Source organism: Homo sapiens, chromosome 2 (genome assembly GCF_000001405.40).
Source record: "Homo sapiens chromosome 2, GRCh38.p14 Primary Assembly".
In the NCBI taxonomy this organism is placed as follows: Eukaryota; Metazoa; Chordata; class Mammalia; order Primates; family Hominidae; genus Homo; species Homo sapiens.
Window position 1 is genome coordinate 152443118 of NC_000002.12, and position 21299 is coordinate 152464416.

Consider the following 21299-nt stretch of genomic DNA (forward strand, 5'->3'; position numbering starts at 1 on the left):
GTTGATTAGAGACGAGAAACGAAGGAGGTGAAGCCGGGGTTTCTGGCATGGGGAACCAGATGGGTGGTGGTGCCATTCACTGAAATAGGGAGCACTCAATGAGCAGATTTTCTGAGAGAGGTCAGGAAGCAGGATAGTGATGTGATGGTGTGTGTGGAGACCTGCAAGTCTGTCGGTGCACTAGCCTTCACTTCAGTGGGGAGAGGCTTCTACCACTTTGGGAACCATCAGTTTGGGATTGATAGTTAACCCATTGGAGTAGATGGGATTAGCTAGGAAGGTAGGTGAGAAGAGCACCTGGGACAGAATGCAAAGGGTCACAACTCATTAAGGGAAGCTAGAGGAAGAGGAGAAGGAATTGTTAGAGAGGGTCACAACACCAGAAGTGTACAGTGCTATTGTGGAGACCAAGAGGAAGATGTGTTTAGAAGGGAGGAGAGTAGAGCTGGGCGTGGTGGCTCACGCCTATAATCCTAGCACTCTGGGAGGCTGAGGTGGGCGGATCACTTGAGGTCAGGAGTTCAAGACCAGGCTAACCAACACAGTGAAACCCCGTCTCTACGAAAAATACAAAAGTTAGCCGGGCGTGGTGGCCGGCATCTGTAATCCCAGGTACTTGGGAAGCTGAGGCAGGAGAATTGCTTGAACCCGGGAGGCAGAGGATGGAGTGACCCAAGATCACATCATTGCACTCCAGCCTCGGCAACAGAGCGAGAGACTCCATCCAAAAAGAAAAAAAGAAAAAAAAGGAGAGGAGAGAAACAGCATCAGTTGCTGCTGGGGAATGCCAGGAAATTAAGTACTAAAGAGGGTTCAGTTGAGTTCACAACATGGAAGTCCGTCGTGCATTCACACAGTGCTGACTCAGCCTGCTTTGGGCCAGGCTCTACGCTAGACACTGAGGGTTCAACCATGACTGAGATTTTCTTCCAGTGGCTTGGAAGAAGCAGAAGGCAGCCAGCAATGGGTTAGGAGGGTCAGGACAGAAACTGACTATTTAAGCAGTAAGTTCCAGAAGACTGGAAGGAGAGAGGGCAGCCGAGTAGAGGGTGGGGTAGCTGGGGGATTTTCACGATGATGATGATGATGGAAGAGACTTGAGAGTGTTTAAATGTAATAGGAAGATTCAGAGGGAGAGACTGAAGATTTGGAAGGGAGAGAAAAGCTGGATAGAGGCATGTCCATGGGAGTATGGGATGGGAAGGAGACCACCGCCCAGACCCTGCATGGGTGGTCTGCATGACTATCCCACAAGAACCAGCTTGATATTTAGTCTGATTTGAGGGTGCTTAAAGGCCCCATTCGGGTTTGCCTCACTTAGGTGCCACATAGCCTTAATTTCCAGCATGAAAGATTTATTCCTTTGGACTACTTTCATTTAGAGATATGCAAGATATTCCTGGGGCAGGCAGGATAACACATTACAGAAATAGACTCTAACGAGCAAGTAAATACTTAGCTCCCCTTTATCCTAATGGGAGGTAGTGAGCTTGCGTGCTCAGGAGGAAGAGACTGAATCCTGGAGTCTGTCCTAGCCTGCCTAGTTTCAGTTCTGATTTAGTGGAGACAAAAGGCCCTGTATGATTTTAACATAGTTGTGGCAGCTGTTTCCTTGAGATCAGTTCAATAATGGTATTAAAATATGATAGAGTCGATTGAATGTTCAGCAAGCCTATGGGTAACTCAGTGTCCCCTGCTCCACCATGTGTGAGGTTACAAATGAGGTCATATGACCATCAATATTAAAATGTTGCCAGTAATTGCGCCCACTTAGTTGGTAGGCAGGATCTCAGTCCTCTTCATGACCCCTCTTGATTCTCTCTGAGGGCATCATACATGGTTCACAAACAGTTCTGTCGTTCTCCTCTGGCAAAGCCAGTTGGGGGAGGTATCTTGCTGTTGGCACTGTGGTTTTCCATAAAGATGGAAAGCATCTGCCCAGGAGTCTCCTTGAATCCCAAGTTGCAGAACTTTCAAAGAGCCAGTTTGTGCTGATACTATTGATCCTGACTACATCAGAGTCTCAATTCTTTAAAGAAATGGAGTCTTTTACACTCCAGTCTGTGTTTCACCTGTGTGGCTAACGTGGGCAACAGTGTCTTCTTCTTCCACTGTCTTCCCCAATTCTGTGATGCTTTTCCCTGTGGAAACTGAGTCATGCAGTGGACACCTGGGAAACGCCCTTGAGATTCTGCCAAAGTAAGAATCTCACTTTTGGTGAGTACTCCCCTCCTCCCAGAATAAGAGAAGCCTTGTATTCTGTAAATTAAACTTCAGTTTAAATGTCCTAGACCACTATTGTCCAATGGAACATTTTATAATCTGTGCCGAGTAACCACTAGCTGCTGAGTTAGTGAGTGTTGAAATGTGGCTAGTGTCACTGGGGAACTGAATTTTAAATTTTACTTAATTTTAATTACTTTAGAGTTTAATAGTCACAGGTGGTTAGACAGTGTAGCTCTAGACCAGTGGTTTCGAAATTTTATCATGCATCAGAATCAACTGGAGGACTTGTTAAAACATAGATTGCTGGGCCCTGTCCTCCCCAAAGTTTCTGATTCAGTTGGTCTGGATCAGGGGTTGAAAATCTACATTTCTTACAAGTTCCCAGGTGATGCTGCTAGCCTGGAGGAAGCCACATTTGGGAATCACCACTGTAGACTTTGTTCTAGTATTTAATTAATATGCTAACTCACACAGATAGAATTGCCATCAGCCAGTCGTCAGGGTTCCGGGTCAGCTGGTTGACAAGCAGCCTAGTACCTCCCCTCCTTTCCCATCCCTAAACCACACTGGCTTCTTTTTTCCAAAAACATTACAGCTCATCTTTAAGGGTGATTCATGATACTTTCTAAACAGCCACAGTAGCTGAAACATTGGACTACTGGGGAAATTCCAGCCTTGAACAGACTTTGGTTTTCATTCCAGTTTTACTAATTTGTTCTCTAATCTTACAAGAAATTAGACCATGTGTGTGGCGCATGTAGGCTGTGAGTAATTTTATCTTTGCCAAGCTCATACTTGGCATTATAGTCAGTGATTTCTGTGTCCATGCTGGCTAGCCTGGGCTCAGAGGGACTGTCCCTAAAATCATTTTTTAATGAGTAGCTTTTTAACCCAATGGCAAAATCATTTTTAATACTTACAAATACGGTCTAATAAATATTTTTTTTAGAATAACAGAGCACTGTCTTATGGGTGATTGTTTATACAAGGTCTTTCTCAAAAGCATATTGGAATATTTACAGATGAAATGACATGCTGTCTGAGATTCACTTTAAAGGCCTGGTTGGGGGATGGTAGCTGAAACCAGATTGCAAAATGTTGATGATTGTTGAAGTATACATGGAGGTGCAGTATACTATTCTTTCAACTTTTGTGATTGTTTGAAATTTTACATAATAGGTTAAAAAAAAAGCATGCTCTTAGAGAAACTAAATACAGCATCTTTGTGAAGTACCAGGTAAATAATTGACATTAAAAATGAAAAGTAGTTTGTTGGTTTTGTTTTAGGGAATTCAACTGGATAAAGAATGTAATGGATGATCTAAAGGAAATGGAAGAGAATAGCAATTGTGTAAATGTAATACATTATAGACCATTGTTAAGGAAGAATCTGCAGATATGCAAAGGACTTCGTATGTGTGTATGGTGTTTAAGTAGGGGAAATACACCCCTACTGATTTTTCTGTATACCATTATAGATATCTCTTCTTAACAGTTCGCAACACAACTGGTGCTCACTGTGATGTGTCAAAGTTTTATTTGATTTGGACAAAGGCAAAGATTTTATAAATTTAATAAAGAGGCAGGAAGGAGGGAAGGAAGTGGTAAGTCATACCACTGGAGTTCATAGGCAGCTAAACTTTTCTGGGTGGCCCAGTTTAGATTTTTTTAGTAAAGAGATGATATTTACCCTGAAAGAGAAGAGTTTAAAAAAAAGAGACTTTGTCAATCTTCTAAAGGTTGTGTGAATAAACTCACTTTTTTTTTTTTTGGAGACAAGTTTCTTACTTTGTTGCCCAGGCTGTAGGGTAGAGTGGTGAGATAATAGCTCACTGCAGCCTTGATCTCCCAGGTTCTAGCAATCCTGCTGCCTCAGCTTCTCCAGTAGTCGGGATTATAGGCATGCACCACCACACCTGGCTAATTTTTAAAAAGTTTTTACAGAGATGAAGTCTCACTGTGTTGCCCAGGCCGATCTTGAACTCCTGAGCTCAAGCCATCCTCCCACCTTGGCTTCCCAAAGTTTTGGGATTATTGGTGTGAGTCACTGTGGTCAGCCATCAACTTATTTTTGATTTAGAAAATAATCTCAGATTTTCTTCAGCTAGATGGTAATTGAAGTTGAGTATTTTAAATTTCTTTGACAATTACAGGAAGCAAAGAAGTGGTTTTATTAAATAGCAGTGAGCTTCATGCCATTTTACAGTATGTAACCGAGACCCATGTTTTCCTTTTGATGTAGTCAATTTGTTACCATCTTTTTCCACTTTGAAATGTCTCTTTAAATGCATTTTCACCCCATTTCTATCTTACATCACCTTCACCCCCTAGTGCAATCCCTACCTCCCTCTGCCTGGATTACTGCTGCTAATAACTTCCTTACTGGATAGTCTTCCCTCAAGAAGTGTCCTTTCCCTTCCCTTTCCTCCAGTGATTTTCCTTTTCTTTGACTGTCGTTTGGACCAAACGACTTAGCATCCATTTGTTCTTCCTTGTGTGTAGCTTTTTGTTTGCCAGTTACATAAAAAGTATGCCTGTGTATTACCATATGATATGACAGTAGGTATATAACAGTGCTGGTCTTCAGTTGAAAATATTTATAAAATGTAACAAGACCACTAGTCTCTTTAGTTTTTAATACTTAACTGTAATTTGATAGAGAATAAATTTTCCAAAGGTGGCATCTTCATTGATGTATTACTCACAAGCCTGCAGGTTGAACTCATGGTCATAGATGAGTTTCCACATGTTTTCTCCTATACCCATTGAATTCGTCAAAACATACCTGACTGTATGTGTAAGGGAGCTGCTTAAAGATTTTGGCAGTATAGGTTTTTGCACCTAGCATTTGCTGATTTCTTAAAAAAAAAAAAACACATAATAACAGAAGGCTATTCTGTATCTATTTCAGCACTGCTGAGTGTTTAAGTATTTATTGCTTAATTTTAAATTTTTGGATAAAAGTATTGGATAAAAGTTGCTTAGAAGCAACTTTTAGGGAGTTGCTTCTGAGAGTGTGTTCAAAGGGTACCTTTGACTCTTGTTGGAGTTTGAGTAATGTTCAAACAAGAGTAACATAAAATAATCCTCCAGTGATCTGAAATTGTTAATTGTCGGGATAAGCATAGACTGTCCTCTTAGTTCAAACCAACAGACTGAGGAACTTGTTCATAAAACTCTCTTCTTTGACTTGGAAAGACAGATTAAATGTGGAGTAAAACTCCTCGGGGTTTTCTCTTTTTTGGACTGTCAGTATGGCATAAAAGGAAACCTTCTGTAAATTGAATACTATCTGAAACCAGATGCACTCATCAAAGCATTTGTTGAACTCCTATGCATTAGGCTCTGTAATTCTCGTGAAGCCTTGCACCATTTTCAGCATTGAATTTAAAAGTAGGTCAGTGACCACAGTGAGGTAAGAAAAACATTTTTTGCAAAAAGAAAATCCTTGGAGAGTGCTGCTTTGATAAGACGTTTAAGCTTTCCCTCAGATAGCTGATTACATGCGTGTGTCCGGATTTCCTACATCTCTCATGCTCTTGTCCCTTGAAGAGTCTCTGAAATACAGAACTGTTTAGTGCTTTTAAGCCATGCACTTTGTGTTTGTCGAGAAGAAACCAAAAGACCTGTGCCTGGCAAAGCCATGTTGAAGCCTCTAATGTCTAATTGTCTGTTGGTTAAGATGGCACTCAGTAGTCAAGACCCAAAACACTGAACTCACCAAGCAAGCACAACAGAAGGGGTGTTCAATATTTCTCTTTTTGTAAATGCTTTTGTGCCTCTTAGTTGCTAGAAAGGACTAGATGATGTCTGTTTTAGGCACACTTCTTCCTTCTTTCTCCCTCTGGTTTCTCTCTCTTTAGTTTCTCTTTCCGGAACTATGGGATTTTTGTTGCATGATAGCCTCTTAGATGTGTGATCTTCATGCTTAATATGCAGTGATATGCAGGGAACAGATTCTGGGACTACTTTTTTCCTTTTTTTCTCTGCTCATAGGCCTTGGTGTATGAGATTCCTTTTCAGGATTTTTCTACCATCTAATGGATTTCTGCAAAATTAATTAACAGTGTAAAGTTTCTCAAATTTTTTTCCTGACCTCTCCCCTTAAAATAGTCTGTAGTTTTATGGCAGGACTTGGGGGGCTCTCATCCTTGCAGGGAAGCACCGGTCAAGGTTCTCATGGTAAGTGCCTCTTTGAGAGGTTTAAAATTACATGCTTTTAGCTTCCAGAGAGGAGGGAAAACCTTCCCTTTAGGTCCGTATCATTTGAGAGGAAACTTGGGGTTGAATAGGCTAAATGTTCCTACTTGTGGCCTTGTTTTCACTGCTTGGTTACCTAGTGCAAACAGATTAATGTAAGAGTTACGGCTTTTTAGAATACAGACAGTCGTCAAAAAAATCCAAAGACTTTAGAAAATGGAATTTGCTTGTAGAAGAAGCTTCTCAGATACTGGTGTCAAACAGCTTTGCTAAAGCATTAATGTGGCTACATGTTTGACAGACTGCATAACCTTCCTACATTTTCCCAGAGTAGTCTAATGAGTTATCACCACCTTTATACATTCCATCCTACATAGAAACCTTTCCTCATTCAAACAGATTTCAAGGAAAAAGGTCATACCCTATTCCAAATCTACCTGTTGCCTCTTCTATACTCTCTTCCACTTTTAAGTCCTCTGTAACAACGGCTCCTTCTGTCACCGACATAGAAATATTCCAGTTTTTGAAATAGGCCCGCAAGGAGTTTCAATCACTGAGAGCTTGGGGAATAAAAACTAATTTTAATATTTGCATTAAAAAAACAATTAGACAAATATATTGCAGAAAATTATACACATTTCTAAACCAAATGCATAAAGCCTGTATTAATCAGAACTTGTAGTTAAGCCTTGTTTTTTTCTTTGCTTTACATTAATAAGAAAGAGGCAAGACACAAGAAAAACTGAAGGATTTAACAAATCAACAACAGTTTCCCTTCTGATTAACATAACGAAGTGAGGACAGAGCCAGCTCAGTTCTCTCCTTTTGCAGTGTTCCGTGGAGCGTGGAGACAACAGTACCTTCAGGTACTAAAGGCTTTTCATGTTTTGTAGTTACAGCAGTTAGAAATTTAGTAAGACATTTCAGTGTTATACTTAAAGATGAAAACTAAAAAGCTTTTCTGATTTTAATTAGATTGTTTATTCGAAAAACCATTCATTCTCCTAAAATTTTTGTTTAAAAAAAGATTGGCTCATCTTCATTATCCAGACTGCTGCATATACCATGCACAGCCAGAAGTTGCCATAGTTAGAGGGGCCAGGAGCAGAGCCATCCTCAGCTCCTCCCTACTCCTCCCTTCTCACTTAAGTCAGCCCCATGTGGCATCTCCTCCTGCTGTCTGACCTCCCATCGCAGTCTCCTCTGCCTGACTTCACTGTCTCCTGCCCAAGCTCTCACAAAAGCTCATAGCCTCTTACCTGTCCACTCGTTCCTTAAAATCATTGACGGTTGTCATCTTTACAAACAGGACAAGATCATGAGGTGATGTCCCTGCTCCATGTGTCCATTACCCATGGCGGTGGATTTTGAAGGTTCTTCTGGGATGTGGCAGGTCGCTGGGTCTCCAGGTCATGCCCTTACCCCATCCTCAGTTGGCACAGCTCTACTTTTGTTCTGCCTTCTACGCTTGGAGTAAGATTTTGTTGAATAAAACATTCCAGGTTGTAGAAAAGTTTGAAAACCATGGGAGGAGATAACTGCTAAAATGCTGTGTCTTTCCCTGTATTCTGTTGGAGGTGCTAACTTTGAACTCTTGGACTTCAGTTTTTTTTTGTTGTTGTTGAGATGGAGTCTCGCTCTGTTGCCCAGGCTGGAGTGTGGTGGCACCATCTTGGTTCACTGCAACCTGCTCCTCCCAGGTTCAAGCGATTCTTCTGCCTCAGCCTCCCAAGTAGCTGGGACTACAGGTGTGTGCCACTATGCCCGGCTAATTTTTTGTATCTTTAGTAGATACGGGGTTTCACCATGTTGGCCAGGCTGGTCTCGAACTCCTGACCTCGTGATCTGCCCACCTCGGCCTCCCAAAGTGCTGGGATTACAGGCATGAGCTACTGCACCCTGCCTGTGTTCACATTTCTGACACTTCTTCAGCTTGAGGGGTCCATGCTAATTGGATCCTTATTGTGACCAGTGTTTTTATGCATACTAATTTGTTTAATCTGTACCTGATTGACATAGGTACTAATATCAGCACCGTTTTATGGATGAGGAGACTGAGGCACAGAGATAAACCACCTTGCCCAGGGTTCTATAGTCAGTCAGTGGCCAAGTTAGGATTCAGAGGTTGGAGGTCAGCCCGCTTGCTCCGGAGTCCACACTCTGAAACACTAGACTCTCGAAACAAACTGAATACATTAACATAATTAGGTGGCTTTTCCAGACTTTTGAGTGGAAGAAGTACAGCCACTGGATTCCTCTTTCTACAGACTTCAGTTTCGATTGTGGGCTGAATGTGCCCTCACATTTTGATAAGCCTAGGCCTGTGTGGGGTAAGTTTGGAGGGAAAAGAATTAGAGCAGGAGAGAATACACTGTAGAGAAAAGAGAGGAAAGAGGTCATTTTCCCCAAACCCGAAAGAACCCAGGCCCGTGGGCTCCCTGGCCTTGATCTGAAGTCTGGGAGCCATTGATTTGTATGCCCATTTCATTTCTCATGCCAGGACAATGCCACAGTCACTTTGACCTAATTGTATGGCTCCCCTGTTCCCTTCACTCTTTTCATCAAAGTGAATACATTTGTTGCTTTGGCAACTCGAGGTGTTAGAATCTTTTTTCTTTCCCCATCCCCGAAAGACAGTTGAGGGACTTGCTCCCCGAAAGACAGTTGAGGGACTTGCGTGATAGATTGTGAAGAAAAATCTGGGAATCATTTAAATTAGATTTTCAGGAATATGACTTATCTAACTCTGAGAAGCTGGGCAGAAGGCAGCCTCCTCGCCTGTTGACTCCTTCCTGCCTCTGCTAGCATTTCAGAACAACAGAAGCTTGCCTGGATCTTTTCTCACACGAGTTTTGGTCCTGGAGTCGCCATTGGAAGTCTAGTCAGGGTTGTCACCTTACTGTTGTAGGCAGAAACCACTACGCAGTGGGTTGAAGGAGCAGAAACTTCTTGGCAAAGGCGAATCAATGTGGGTTGGTAGGAATTTGCACTCCTCCCCCCCCTAGTTTTCTTAAAAACACTCTTGTAATGGGACAAATGTGACTGCTCAGAAGTTACCACAGGGGCCTTTTGGAATATTTTCATATTCCCCCATCTGTGGGAAGTGAGGGGCTATTAAGTATGTGTGTGTGTTGGTGGGGAGCAGTAACCGAGCAACTCCTTTGCTGGTGGGAGGGGATGCCATGGGCCAAGGGATTCCTTTGCATACCTTTGTCGAGGGCCCGATGGGGAGGGCTGTCGATGGGGAGGGCTGTCGTACCAGGTGAGATGCAATTAGCCATGGAAGCAGCAGTGTTTGGATCTCCAGCTCTCAGTCCAAGTATAAACCAGAGTTAAGCCTCAGTGTGGTGCTGGATTAGAAAGGAAATATGGCTGAATGGCCGGGCGCGGTGGCTTATGCCTGTAATCCCAGCACTTTGGGAGGCCAAGGTGGGTGGATCACGAGGTCAGGAGTTCCAGACCAGCCTGGCCAACATGGTGAAACCCTGTCTCTACTAAAAATACAAAAATTAGCTGGGCGTGGTGGTCAGCACCTGTAACCCCAGCTACTCGGGAAGCTGAGGCAGGAGAATCACTTGAACCCTGGAGGCAGAGGTTGCAGCAAGCCAAGATCGCACCAGTACACTCCAGCCAGGGTGACAGAGCAAGACTCTGTCTTGGCGTCAGGGGGTGGGGGTGGGGGTGGGGATTACAGAAAGAAAGAAAATACGGCTGAATGAAAGGTCAGGAGTGGATTCTGGGCCCTGACTGACCCAGTGTGATTCACAGACTCCTTCATTAGGAGCAGTCTGCTCAGAAATACCCTTTGCGTATATATTTAAAAGAGCTTTCTGTGTCATGTTTGAACTGTGACTTATTGGGGATTATTAACACTTGGTGGGGAAGGGAGGGAACAAAGAATCCTCAGCCCTTCATCTTAGAGGAGGGGACGATCCAGTTTGTGGATTGCCAGGACGCTTGTTTTGTCCCCTTCCTCCCCTGCTGCCCAGCCTTCTGGCTGTATTACTGCTTATTTGCCTCTTTGTTAGAGGGAGAAACAAAAGGAGTTCAGATTCAATGCCTGCTTTTGTTTTTGGGTTAGCAGCTTTGGTTGAAGTTTAGCTGAATGAGAGAGGAGAGGGAAAGGTAAAGACTGAGCTATCTGTTAAGGTTATTGACTAATTTAGATTGTATGCCATTCTGTCCCTTGCATGCTGTCTGCGAGGGCACAGCCATTATAAGCAGAGAGTGAAAAGGGAGATTGTGTATAACAGAAAGCCAAGGCGTTAGAGCCTAATTGGAAACAATACATGCCCCAAATGTGCTCTCGTGTCCTAGCCAAGAACATGGTTTCAAAAACATGAGAAATAAGGATAATGAAATGAAAAACACTTTAGAAAGCTTAGATACCTCAGGTATTGTATTGTGGGGGAAATGAAAAATTAAGTATTAGATTTATATGTTTTCTGGCTGGGCGCAGTAGCTCACGCCTATAACCCCAGCACTTCGGGAGGCTGAGGTGGGTGGATCACTTGAGGGTCAGGAGTTCGAGACCAGCCTGGCCAACATGGTGAAACCCTGTCTCTGCTAAAAATACAAAAAAATTTAGCTGGGCATGGTGGCAGATGCCTGTAATCTCAGCTACTTGGGAGGCTGACACAGGAGAATCACTTGAATTTGGGAGGCAGCGGTTGAAGTGAGCCAATAGCATACCACTGCATTCCAGCCTGGGCCACAGAGCAAGACTCTGTCTCAAATAAAGAAAAAAAGTGGGTTTTTTCTTTGCAGTTGGGAAAAGAATATGAAATAAAGTGGCAAATATGGCTCATTTGATTATTTTCTTAATCTTTATTTTTTCTCTTGTATTAAATTTAAGACTGTAGACTTCCCACTAGATCTTGGAGACACTAAGGTGAAAATCTTCACACATTAAGTTGAAAATATCTCTTTTGGGTGGGTGTAATGTTTCACTTGTGAAAGAACTGTTAAAATCCTGCTGGATCACGGGTAGCATAGGGTGCAAAGGCACAGAAAAAGCTCATTTTTACTGAAGGAGTTTTAGAGCCTATGTCAGGTGACAAACTTTGTCTATTTCTGCCACCTTCCTGGAGTATTTGCTCCATTGTTGGCTTGCTGTGAAGGAATGTGGGCAGAAAGGGATGCTGGGAGCTCTTCATTAAGATCAAGGCCTAGTTCTTCAAGGACTACTGAATGATTGGACCTTTCATCAGCATACAAGAGGAAGGGATTGAGAGTGTCTGTTCATGCCATTGATTTAATTGGTCAGAGAAAGGGCCAAAGAAGGGGCAATAACCTCAGAGAAGAGCACTGACTGCCTGTAGCTGTTCTTACTCTGATTCTCAGGGCATTCCTGGAGGAGCTCCAGATACTGAGGGGAAGCTTGCATCAGTGCTGCGTCAGGGTGGGAAAAGCCCATCCTGATACCTTACTTTGAAGTAGACATGTCATTGAGAGGGTCCCCAGGCCTTTGTGAGGAGTCCTGGATGGAGGAAGAAACTATGCCACACAGAAGTCCTGGGGATGTTCAAAGCTGGCCTCAGAGGTTTTCTTTTCAAATGAGCATCCCTGGAACTGGGAGACAGCTCTTTCCTACAGAAGCTGAGAAGGGGAGGTCAGGCAGGGAGGGCAAGGGGAACACCAGCACCAGAAGGCAGACAGAAAAGAAAAAAATGAAGCAGATGGGAAGTACACTTGGAAAGGGTGGGAACAGGGTAGGGGCTGGCTACTTAAAAGGCAAGAGGATCAAGGCCTCGAGGAGAAAAAGCAAATAAAGAAGGAAATGGAATCAAATCAGATGAAGTCCTTTTAGGGGAAGGATGATGTGAACGAAACAAACAAATCAACAGAATGAGGAAAGGCACGGGTGAAACCACCAGAGGAAAGTTCCAGCCAGCACACAGGAGGGAGGAAAGCTCTTGTTTGAAATGGAAGCTGATGCTCTAAAGGAGCATTCAGGGTTTGGAGCAACATTTAGATATGGGGGCCACTGAAGCTTCCATTTGTTTACTGAGCACCTACCACAGGCTGGGTGCTGTACTAAGACTTAACAAAATAAAGATGAATACAACACAGTTCTTCATGGGACTCATAATGGATGACAAACATAAGCAGGTAGCTTTTAAACATTACCATAATTGTAGTGATATGGATATATATTTCATGTCATATCATATTTTTCTTTTGTTTTTTGAGAATGAGCCTTGTTCTGTCACCCCGCCTAGAGTGTAGTGGTGTGATCATAGCTCACTGCAACCTTGACCTCCTGGGCCCGAGTGATCCTCCCACCTCAGCCCCCTGAGTAGCTGAGACCAGAGGCAGGTGCCACCACACTTGGCTTATTTTTTAAATTTTTGTAGAGACGGGGTCTCACTACGTTGCCCAGTGTGGTCTTTTAACTCCTAGCCTCAATTGATCCTCCCACCTCGGCCTCCCGAAGTGTTGGGATTACAGGCATGAGCTGCTGCACCTGGCTTCATATTTTTCTTCATTGGATGATGCCCACAAAGTTTCAGTGCAATGTATGTCTTGACTAATGCATTTGAATATAAAGGTAGAACATTAGATAAATGCTAGAAGGGAAGGTTTGAGTCAGAAATTTTGTCCTTTCTCTAAGCTCCCTAAAGGTGTAAATTTATTTGACAAGCTCTTATTTTGATCAAATTTTCTTTCCAACTATCCTCTCACTAGAAAGAGGAAGAAGACTTTGTGTTAACTCAATTTTTTAGAATTGTGGATTTGGTAGATGAGGTTGAAAAGGTAAATAAGTGATCACCTTGATCTCTTACCTGTTTTAGTGAGTCAGAAGCAAGAAGAGTGCTAGAATGTTGATTGATTGTTTTGTGGAGACAGGGTTTCGCCATGTTGCCTAGGCTGGTCTTGAATTCCTGACCTCAAGCGGTCTTCCTGCCTTGGCCTCCCAAAGTGCTGGGAATATAGGCATGAGTCACTGTGCCCAAGAATGTTGAATTTAACACATTGTCTGAAAACTAGATGAGTGGCTTCTTGCTTCTGAAGAATGTGATGTGCTGCTTGATTCAAGACCGATTTATAATATGCCCTTCAGTTTACTCTTCTTTGTTACAATATGGAGAGAAGTGGTGTATTTTGAAAACATTTGGGGCCGGGCGCGGTAGCTCACGCCTGTAATCCCAGCACTTTAGGAGACTGAGGGGGGCGAATCACGAGGTCAGGAGTTTGAGACCAGCCTGACCAACATGGTGAAACCCTGTCTCTACTAAAAAAAATACAAAAATTAACCAGGCGTGGCACCTGTAGTCCCAGCTACTCAGGAGGCTGAGGCAGGAGAATCGCTTGAACTTGGGAGGTGGAGGTTGCAGTGAGCCAAGATTGCGCCACTACACTCCAGCCTGATGACAGAGTGAGACTCCCTTTCAAAAAAAAAAAAAAAAAAATTGCTACAAAGGAATCCCCTTTGGGGGAGTTTCATGATTAAAATATTTTTGAGTGACACTATACTTGCTACCAATTCTGGTTATGATAATGTGTAGCTTTTAGTGCCCGAAGAATGGAGTTGACTGTTAAACAGTCTGGTAAATATTGGAAATAAATTAGAGTTGTGGACAAGAAGTAAAGAAAGTTATCAGAGTTGGATAAGGAATTTGGAGAGCTCAGAGGGAGATGGTAAAAAAAAAAAAAAGTTGAGAAATTAAGATTTGTTTGTTAGTTTATTGAATGTCTACTATGGTAGGATCTAGCAAAATAAAGATGAATACAACACTTCTCCATGGAACTCAGAATGGGGTGACTAACATGAACAAGTGGCTTTTAAACATTCCCATCATTGTGGTGATATGGATTTGCTCTAAGACTTCCCTTGTTTTTCAAGATAAGTGAGGCTGGGAGAGAAGTCTTTGAAGCTGATGTTAGATGAAGATGTGCTAACTAGACTGGTGCCTAACTATCCCTTCTTCACACCTGTGACTTTAAGTCTCCAAAGTAGTGACACTTACCACACAGACTTCAGGGTCCACATTCAACTTAAGAAATCTCTCTCAACTCTTTGTGGTGGGTGGATGTGGATCTGAGATCACAGTGTATAGCAGAGAAGTCCTTTGTAAGAAAAAAATGACCAAAAGATGTATGTTTTCTATTGCTACTGGAACAAATTACCACACATTTAATGGCATGAAATAACACAGATTTATCATTTTATAGTTCTGGCAGTCAGAAGTCCAACATGGGTCCCACTGGGCTAAAACCAAGGTGTTGGCAGGGCTGTGTTCCTTCTGGAGGGCTCTAGGGGACAATCTGTTTCCTGGCTATTTCCAGCTTTTAGAAGCCACCACCTTCTTTGGCTTGTGGCCCCCTTCCTCCATATTCAATGCAAATAATGTCAGGGCAAGACCTTCTCATGCTTGCATGTCCCCAGTTTTTTGGCTACAACCTCAGAAGGTTCTCCATCTATGAGGATTCATGTGATTAGATTGGGCCCACCCAGATAATCCAGGATAATCTCACTTTCACAAGGTCTTTAACTTTAATCATATCTGCAAAGTCTCCTTTGCCATGTATGGTAACATATTCATAGGTTCTGGGGATTGGGATGGGTATATCTTTAGGGACCATTATTCTGCCTATCAAAGAAGGGGGGCTTGGCCCTTTCTGTAGTGCCTGTGGCTCTCTAACCCAGTTGAATGGGCCTCTATATTAGTTTTCCTTCAGATTTCTATACCTGTACCATAATTGCTAGACAGCCCCATTTGATATATTATTCCCTGACTCAGAAATACTCCTTGGCTTGGCACTCAGAGAACTCCATAGTGGGGTCCTTACCCCTTCTTATCTTAGTCCGGAGCAATAACTCTGTTCTGGTTGGATGTGTTTACTCACTGTTGCCCTTCATTCCCTGTTCTGTTGACTGCACATTTCTGACTCCCTGCCTGGGTCATTCCTTCCAAACCAGAATGTGCCCTTCCCTTATTTCTGCCCATTCTTTCTATGAAATCCTGCGACATTGGCCATCCTCACTCCACATTTGGAGTTTATCATAATTACCTAGTACTGTTATTTAACTTTCACAAGAATGCATTTGCTCTTTCCATCTATACCACCATCCTAAAATACTTGGTAAAGTCAGTCTTGGGATTTACCCTCAGAGACACTGATTACATGTTCTGGTATGGGGTCAAGAAGTTTGGCATGAAACGGCCTCTGTGGGTGATGCTGGTATAGGTGGCCCCACGTGATGCTGTGCGGGAAACTCCTTGAGGGAGGATAATTGACCTTTCACCCAGAGTGATAGGCATCATGCTTTACATGTAGGTGGAGGTTATTATATTTCTGGGAAACGATACCAGTTTTCTGAAGGCAAGTTTTAATGAAGAGAGTGTGTCTTGTGGGAAGTGTGTAATAGAGTTAAGGGCACCAAACTGTGCACCATCGTTTTGGAACCAACTGCTGAGTGTGAAAATTCAAAGGTGTACAGAGAGTCAGTCTATGTCCCAGAGTGGACATGGTAAGACAGTACAGTTGAGAATTGGTAATAACCATTGTAATGGCAAAATCACCAAACCTCTAGATTTTTTTTGTTTACTTTTTCTGTGTTTCAGGGACTTTATGCAGATTATCAAAAGCAGAAATTTTGTCATGGAAAAGATTTGAAAAAATGGAAGATGGCCAATTTTTGAGAACATATGGAGAGAACTCTCTGCTTTCAGTGCTCATTGTGATAACTAGTTCTTCTTGATGACTGGAATGCAAAGAACACCCAAAGATCTGAATTCGCACTGAACCAAGCATTTTTGGAATGAGGTCTTTCATGAATATGCCATGATTTTGATTTCTGCTTTTGTTAAGACTGCAATGGAGCCTTTGTTATTTTCTTGATTCCCTGAAGAGTTCTAGATTCCCTGAAGAGTTGAGTCTAAGTGATTGATTTATATACAAAATTGATTTTGCCTTTTTACGTTATTTTGGGATCTTATAGCATAAAATAAAACTTACTAATAGGCATATTAAGCAAAATGTTTTTTGTTTCTTTCAATTTTGTGCCTTTTATTACTTTTCCTATCAACTTTATAGACGTTGAAAGGGAAGACATCTGTTTTCATTGAGAGAAGATCTTTTAAAAAACGAGCTATTTCAGAGTTCCTATTATAATAGGGTTCTACCTATTGTAAATAAAAGAAGTTAATCTGGGCCAGATGAGGTATTAAAAATAACAGATAACTATGTGAATACACTAAAATCTATTGAGTTGCATACTTTAAATGGGTGCTTTGTATGGTATGTGAAATATATCTCAACAAAGCTGCAAAAGAAAAAATACATAAATAGGTAAAATGGAAAAGAAAAAAACCCCAGATGTTTCTGTGAGCTCTTGGAAGCTGTCACAGTGGTGAGACACTTGTTTTAGAAATCACCAAAATTTTCGTTTGAGTCCCTAGTCACCAAATAAACATAGGAAATTTTTTCATATTATCTTTTGTTGAAAGAAGAGCTATTTTAAGATAAATCATGCTAGGCACTTTAATAACAGTGTTTGAGTCAATTTAAGTCAGTTCTCTATTTAACTATTAAATATAAATATTCTGTGAATCAAGTAGGCTGTGAAAATTTATGTCCTTTTCGCAGTGGGCTCATTTATATACGTAGTGGGCATATTATGTTCATTTGGTGGTCTGATGATACCTGATTGAAATAACCCAAATGGGACCAATAGGGACAAAGAATAGCATGTTCTATCCATGTAGAACTAAATTGAAATATTGGTAATTAATGTGTTTATTTGGTTTCATATGTTTGAATTTGTTTTTAGCAGCCATTATATGGTACTGTGTCCTGCCAGATAAAAGACTGAAGAAAGTTATCATCCAAGTTCTTACCGTATGCCTTGCTTCTGGATGAAAACTGATTTGTCACAAAGCTCAGTTAAAATTCACTACAGTGTAATTTTAACAAACTTGAGAGTGGTCAAAGTATTTTGGCCTTGTAATGAATTGAGCCAGTATTTGTTGAATATCTTTCTTTCCCACAACTGCCCTCTTCATAGAGCAGGGGTCCCCAACCCCCGGGCCACGGACCTGTTAGGAACCAGGCCGCACAAGGGGCAAGTGAGCAAAGCTTTGTTTGTGTTTACAGTGCTCCCCATCACTTGCATTACTGCTTGAGCCCTGCCTCCTGTCAGATCAGCAGCAGCATTAGATTCTCATAGGAGTGTGAATCCTATTGTGAACTGCACGTGTGAGGGATCTAGGTTATATGCTCCTTGTGAGAATCCAATGCCTGATGATCTGTTACCGTCTCCCATCACCCCTGGATGGGACTGTCTAGTTGCAGGAACACAAGCTCAGGGCTCCCATTGATTCTACATTATAGTGAATTGTATAATTATTTCGTTATATATTACAATGTAATAATAATAGAAATAAAGCACACAATGAATGTAATGTACTTGAATCATCCCCAAACCATCTCCCCCTTGCCTCCCCACTACCTGGTCCATGGAAAAATGATCTTCCACGAAACCGGTCCCTGGTTCCTGGTACCAGAAAGGTTGGGGGCTGCTGCTGTAGAGGATAAGAAAAGAGTAATATGACCTCTGCCTTCAAAGAATTGATAATTTGGAACAGAGCTGAACAATAGAAATATGTGAACCATATGATGAACTTTAAATTTCCCAGTAGCCACGTTAGGAGATAAGAAAGAAACAGTTCACCTGGTTAGATAGATGGTGAAGAAAATGAGAAAAGAACAGATTTCGGAATTATTTTTAATGTATTTTATTTAACCCAGTATATTAAAATATCATTCCAACATGTAATCAATATAAAGATTACTAGTGAGATATTTTACTTTTTTTTAAACATATGAAGTCTTTGAGATCTGGTGTATGATTTACTCCTAATGCACATCTCAATTTGATGTTGAATTTTTGTTGGAAATATTTGATCTGTATTTAGATTATAAAATTTAGAGTCAAAAAAGTAGATTCACATACCACATTTGTTCCAGTTATACTTAAAAGTTTTTCAATAACTGAGTCAAACATGTTTTAAAATCTGAATTAAAAATTAATTTAAATTAATATTAAAAATTCAATTCTTTCTTCACCCTAAACATATTTCAAATGCCAATAGCCTTGTGCAGCTGGCAGCTACTGTATTTAACAGCACAGATATGGATGTTGAGAGAAGACTTTTCTACCTTTAATACTTAAATAATCAAGGTGATATGTAATTACAAAAAGAATTTTGTTCTTCTTTTGTATAGGATGGTTTTGTGCTACAGACTAGCTAGAGCTTCACTGTCTAATAGAACTTTCTGTGATGAAAATGTGCAATGTTGGCACAGTCCAGTCCAGTAAAGGTAGTCACTAGCCCTACATAGCTTTTTTTCTTTTTAATTTTTTTGAGACAAGATCTCTCTTTGTTGCCCAGCGTGGAGTGTGATGTGCAATCACTGCTCACTGCAGCCTCAACTTCCAAGTCTCAAGCAATCCTCCCACCTCAGTCTCCCAAGTAACTGGGACTAGAGGTGTGTACCATCGTGCCCTGCTAATTTTTAAATTTTTTGTAGAGATAGGATTTTGCTTAAGTAATCCTCCTGCCTCAACCTCCCAAAGTGTTGGGATTACATGTGGGAGCCCTTGGGCCTGGCCACCTACGTAGCTTTTGAAGACTTGAAATGTGGCAAGTACAACTAGGAACTGAATTTTAATCTTGTTTATTTCAAGTGTGAGTAGCTACATAGGGCTAGTGGCTGTCGTACTCAACTAGAGACTCATAAAGGAGCCACAATTTGAATTAGTTTAGGCAGTGAGAAAATGATTAAGACATTAGGAGAATAGCTTAGACCAGTGGTTTTCAAACATTACTGCACACTGGAATTATAGGGGGATTTTTAAAAAAACCTCTGATTGTCTGCCACTCCCACACATTCTGGTTTAATTGATGGAGATGACCTAGTCATTCGGAGTTTACAAAGCTCCCCAGGTGATTGTGATGTATAACAAATTTGGGAACAGATCTATGCTTGTATTATAAATTCTCCACAAATCTATTTCCTTGCTATTCATATTATATGTAAGTTTGCTAGGAACAAGAACAAATAAAGAAGGAACCACATCAATACCTTGTGTTTGCTAGATTCCTAAGACTACTACATATATACTCTTAATTGATCATACCCTGTGCATTAGATGGGGTAGAAATGATCCCACTTGGCTAACAAAAAGAGATTCAAAGGTTAGTTGACTTGCTGAAGGTCACATAGCTGGGGGGTGATGGAGTCCTGTCTTAAACCTGGATCTCATGTTTCTGCCACCACATAAGCAGAGAAATGTAGCGTATCCAGCTTCCTCCAATTCGTGGCTTGTTTTCTCTCTCTTCATAATAGAGCCCTTGTGCTTGGATTTATAAAGAATGTTTCTTTTGATATTTAGGGGGAAAAAATCTCATTAACAATTGGATGTTTGTAGTCCAACAGATTCGTTATCCTCTAAGGGGCACTGTGTTGGGTGTTAGCAGTTCTCTGCTCTCTTCCTGGTACAACATATGATCTTGGTGACCTTGGGTTAGCCAGTTAGCACGTCGGATTTCTAGTTGTTAGAAGAGGAGTTATCAAACCTGTTTGTTCTATCTCTTAAAGGATTGTTGTCAAAAAATATCATTGCTTTGTAATGGAGACCAACATTTATACTTCTGCAGTTATACTTGCTCCTGAAATAAATTTTTTTCTTACCTTTTTGAAATAATAGTTTTTAAAATTGAGCCATTTTCATATGTTAGACATGAATTAATTCAACCCTCACAACAGCCCTGGGAGATAGGGCCTATTACCCTTCTCTTGGTGATGAAGAAATCAAGGTTCAGTGACTTGCTGAAGGTCACACATCTTATTAGAGACAGAGCTGGGATTAGAACCAAGGTGGTTTTGCTTCAAAGCCTATGGTATTATCTGCTCCAGAGAACTAAATCATACCCTTGTGGCCTGAGTGCAATTTGCCTTTAATAGGATGTTTACTGCCTTCTGCATTACTGGTACCAAGGGGTGGCAAGATTTCACTAGTGACTTTGAAGTTCCCCTCTTAGACTTGTAATAGATGGTGGATATTTCCTCAGTCTTAGATAAAATAAAAGCATCTTCAGAAAATATTGCTACTCATGTGTCTCAAATTTAGGAGCAGTGAGCTTGCCATGCAAAGGTAGCTTTCAGACCATCCCCTTTCCCTCTCCCCTAGTTTTTCTAATAGGTATCCTAGAGCTCCCGGTACTACTCAGCCAGGATTTAATTTGAAATGAGTTAGTTTATAATGAATTGAATGTTGTTTTTTTTTCTCCCTGGCTTTTCCCATTTGGAGAAAAACACTTCAAACCTAGAACAGGTATCTGCTTTGTTTGATGGTTAATTTTCTTTCTTCCTTTGTGTGTGTGTATGTGTGTGTTTTGAGATGGAGTCTCGCTCTATCACCCAAGCTGGAGTGCAATGGTGCAGTCTTGGCTCACTGCAACCTCTGACTCGCAGGTTCAAGCGATTCTCCTGCCTCAGTCTCCTGAGTAGCTGGGTTTACAGGCATATGCAACGATGCCTGGCTAATTTTTTATTTTTTTTGGTATTTTTAGTAGAGACAGGGTTTCACCACGTTGACCAATCTGGTCTTGAACTCCTGACCTCAGGTGATCCGCCGACCTTGGCCTCCCAAAGTGCTGGGATTACAGGTGTGAGCCCCCGCACTCAGCCACTGATGGTTAATTTTCAAATGTATCTTCCTCCTCTGCTTTTCTGTGGGTGCCAACAAATAGAATGGTGGGTTTGTTTGTTATTCTTAACTCCTTTGGCTGGCTTTAAACATGTTCTCTTTTTAGCCTTATTTTTCTAAAAGCTTAGTGCAGAAATTTCTTGTTTGGCTTCCA

At 41.5% G+C, this 21299-nt stretch overlaps 1 protein-coding gene across 13 annotated transcripts in view, besides 5 other annotated features; it reads left to right on the top strand.

Annotated features, from left to right (window-relative positions):
- FMNL2 (formin like 2) overlaps positions 1 to 21299 on the top strand; it is a 314653-nt gene that overhangs the window by 107944 nt on the left and 185410 nt on the right. The gene's annotated exons all lie outside the window — the stretch shown is intronic.
- Positions 9458 to 9752: a silencer, noted in NCBI's record as "tiled region #469; HepG2 Repressive non-DNase unmatched - State 2:TssF, and K562 Repressive non-DNase unmatched - State 21:Repr". NCBI's record gives its function as "represses a minimal TATA promoter and a strong SV40 promoter by Sharpr-MPRA in HepG2 and K562 cells {active_cell/tissue: HepG2 | K562}" and the evidence as "EXISTENCE:reporter gene assay evidence [ECO:0000049][PMID:27701403]".
- Positions 10034 to 10625: an enhancer, noted in NCBI's record as "NANOG-H3K27ac-H3K4me1 hESC enhancer chr2:153309665-153310256 (GRCh37/hg19 assembly coordinates)". NCBI's record gives its function as "activates a minimal SCP1, AML or CMV promoter by ChIP-STARR-seq in naive and primed H9 embryonic stem cells {active_cell/tissue: H9 hESC(naive and primed)}" and the evidence as "EXISTENCE:reporter gene assay evidence [ECO:0000049][PMID:30033119]".
- Positions 10298 to 10592: a silencer, noted in NCBI's record as "tiled region #8392; K562 Repressive non-DNase unmatched - State 22:ReprW". NCBI's record gives its function as "represses a minimal TATA promoter and a strong SV40 promoter by Sharpr-MPRA in K562 cells {active_cell/tissue: K562}" and the evidence as "EXISTENCE:reporter gene assay evidence [ECO:0000049][PMID:27701403]".
- Positions 10626 to 11216: an enhancer, noted in NCBI's record as "NANOG-H3K27ac hESC enhancer chr2:153310257-153310847 (GRCh37/hg19 assembly coordinates)". NCBI's record gives its function as "activates a minimal SCP1, AML or CMV promoter by ChIP-STARR-seq in naive H9 embryonic stem cells {active_cell/tissue: H9 hESC(naive)}" and the evidence as "EXISTENCE:reporter gene assay evidence [ECO:0000049][PMID:30033119]".
- Positions 12992 to 13582: an enhancer, noted in NCBI's record as "NANOG-H3K27ac hESC enhancer chr2:153312623-153313213 (GRCh37/hg19 assembly coordinates)". NCBI's record gives its function as "activates a minimal SCP1, AML or CMV promoter by ChIP-STARR-seq in primed H9 embryonic stem cells {active_cell/tissue: H9 hESC(primed)}" and the evidence as "EXISTENCE:reporter gene assay evidence [ECO:0000049][PMID:30033119]".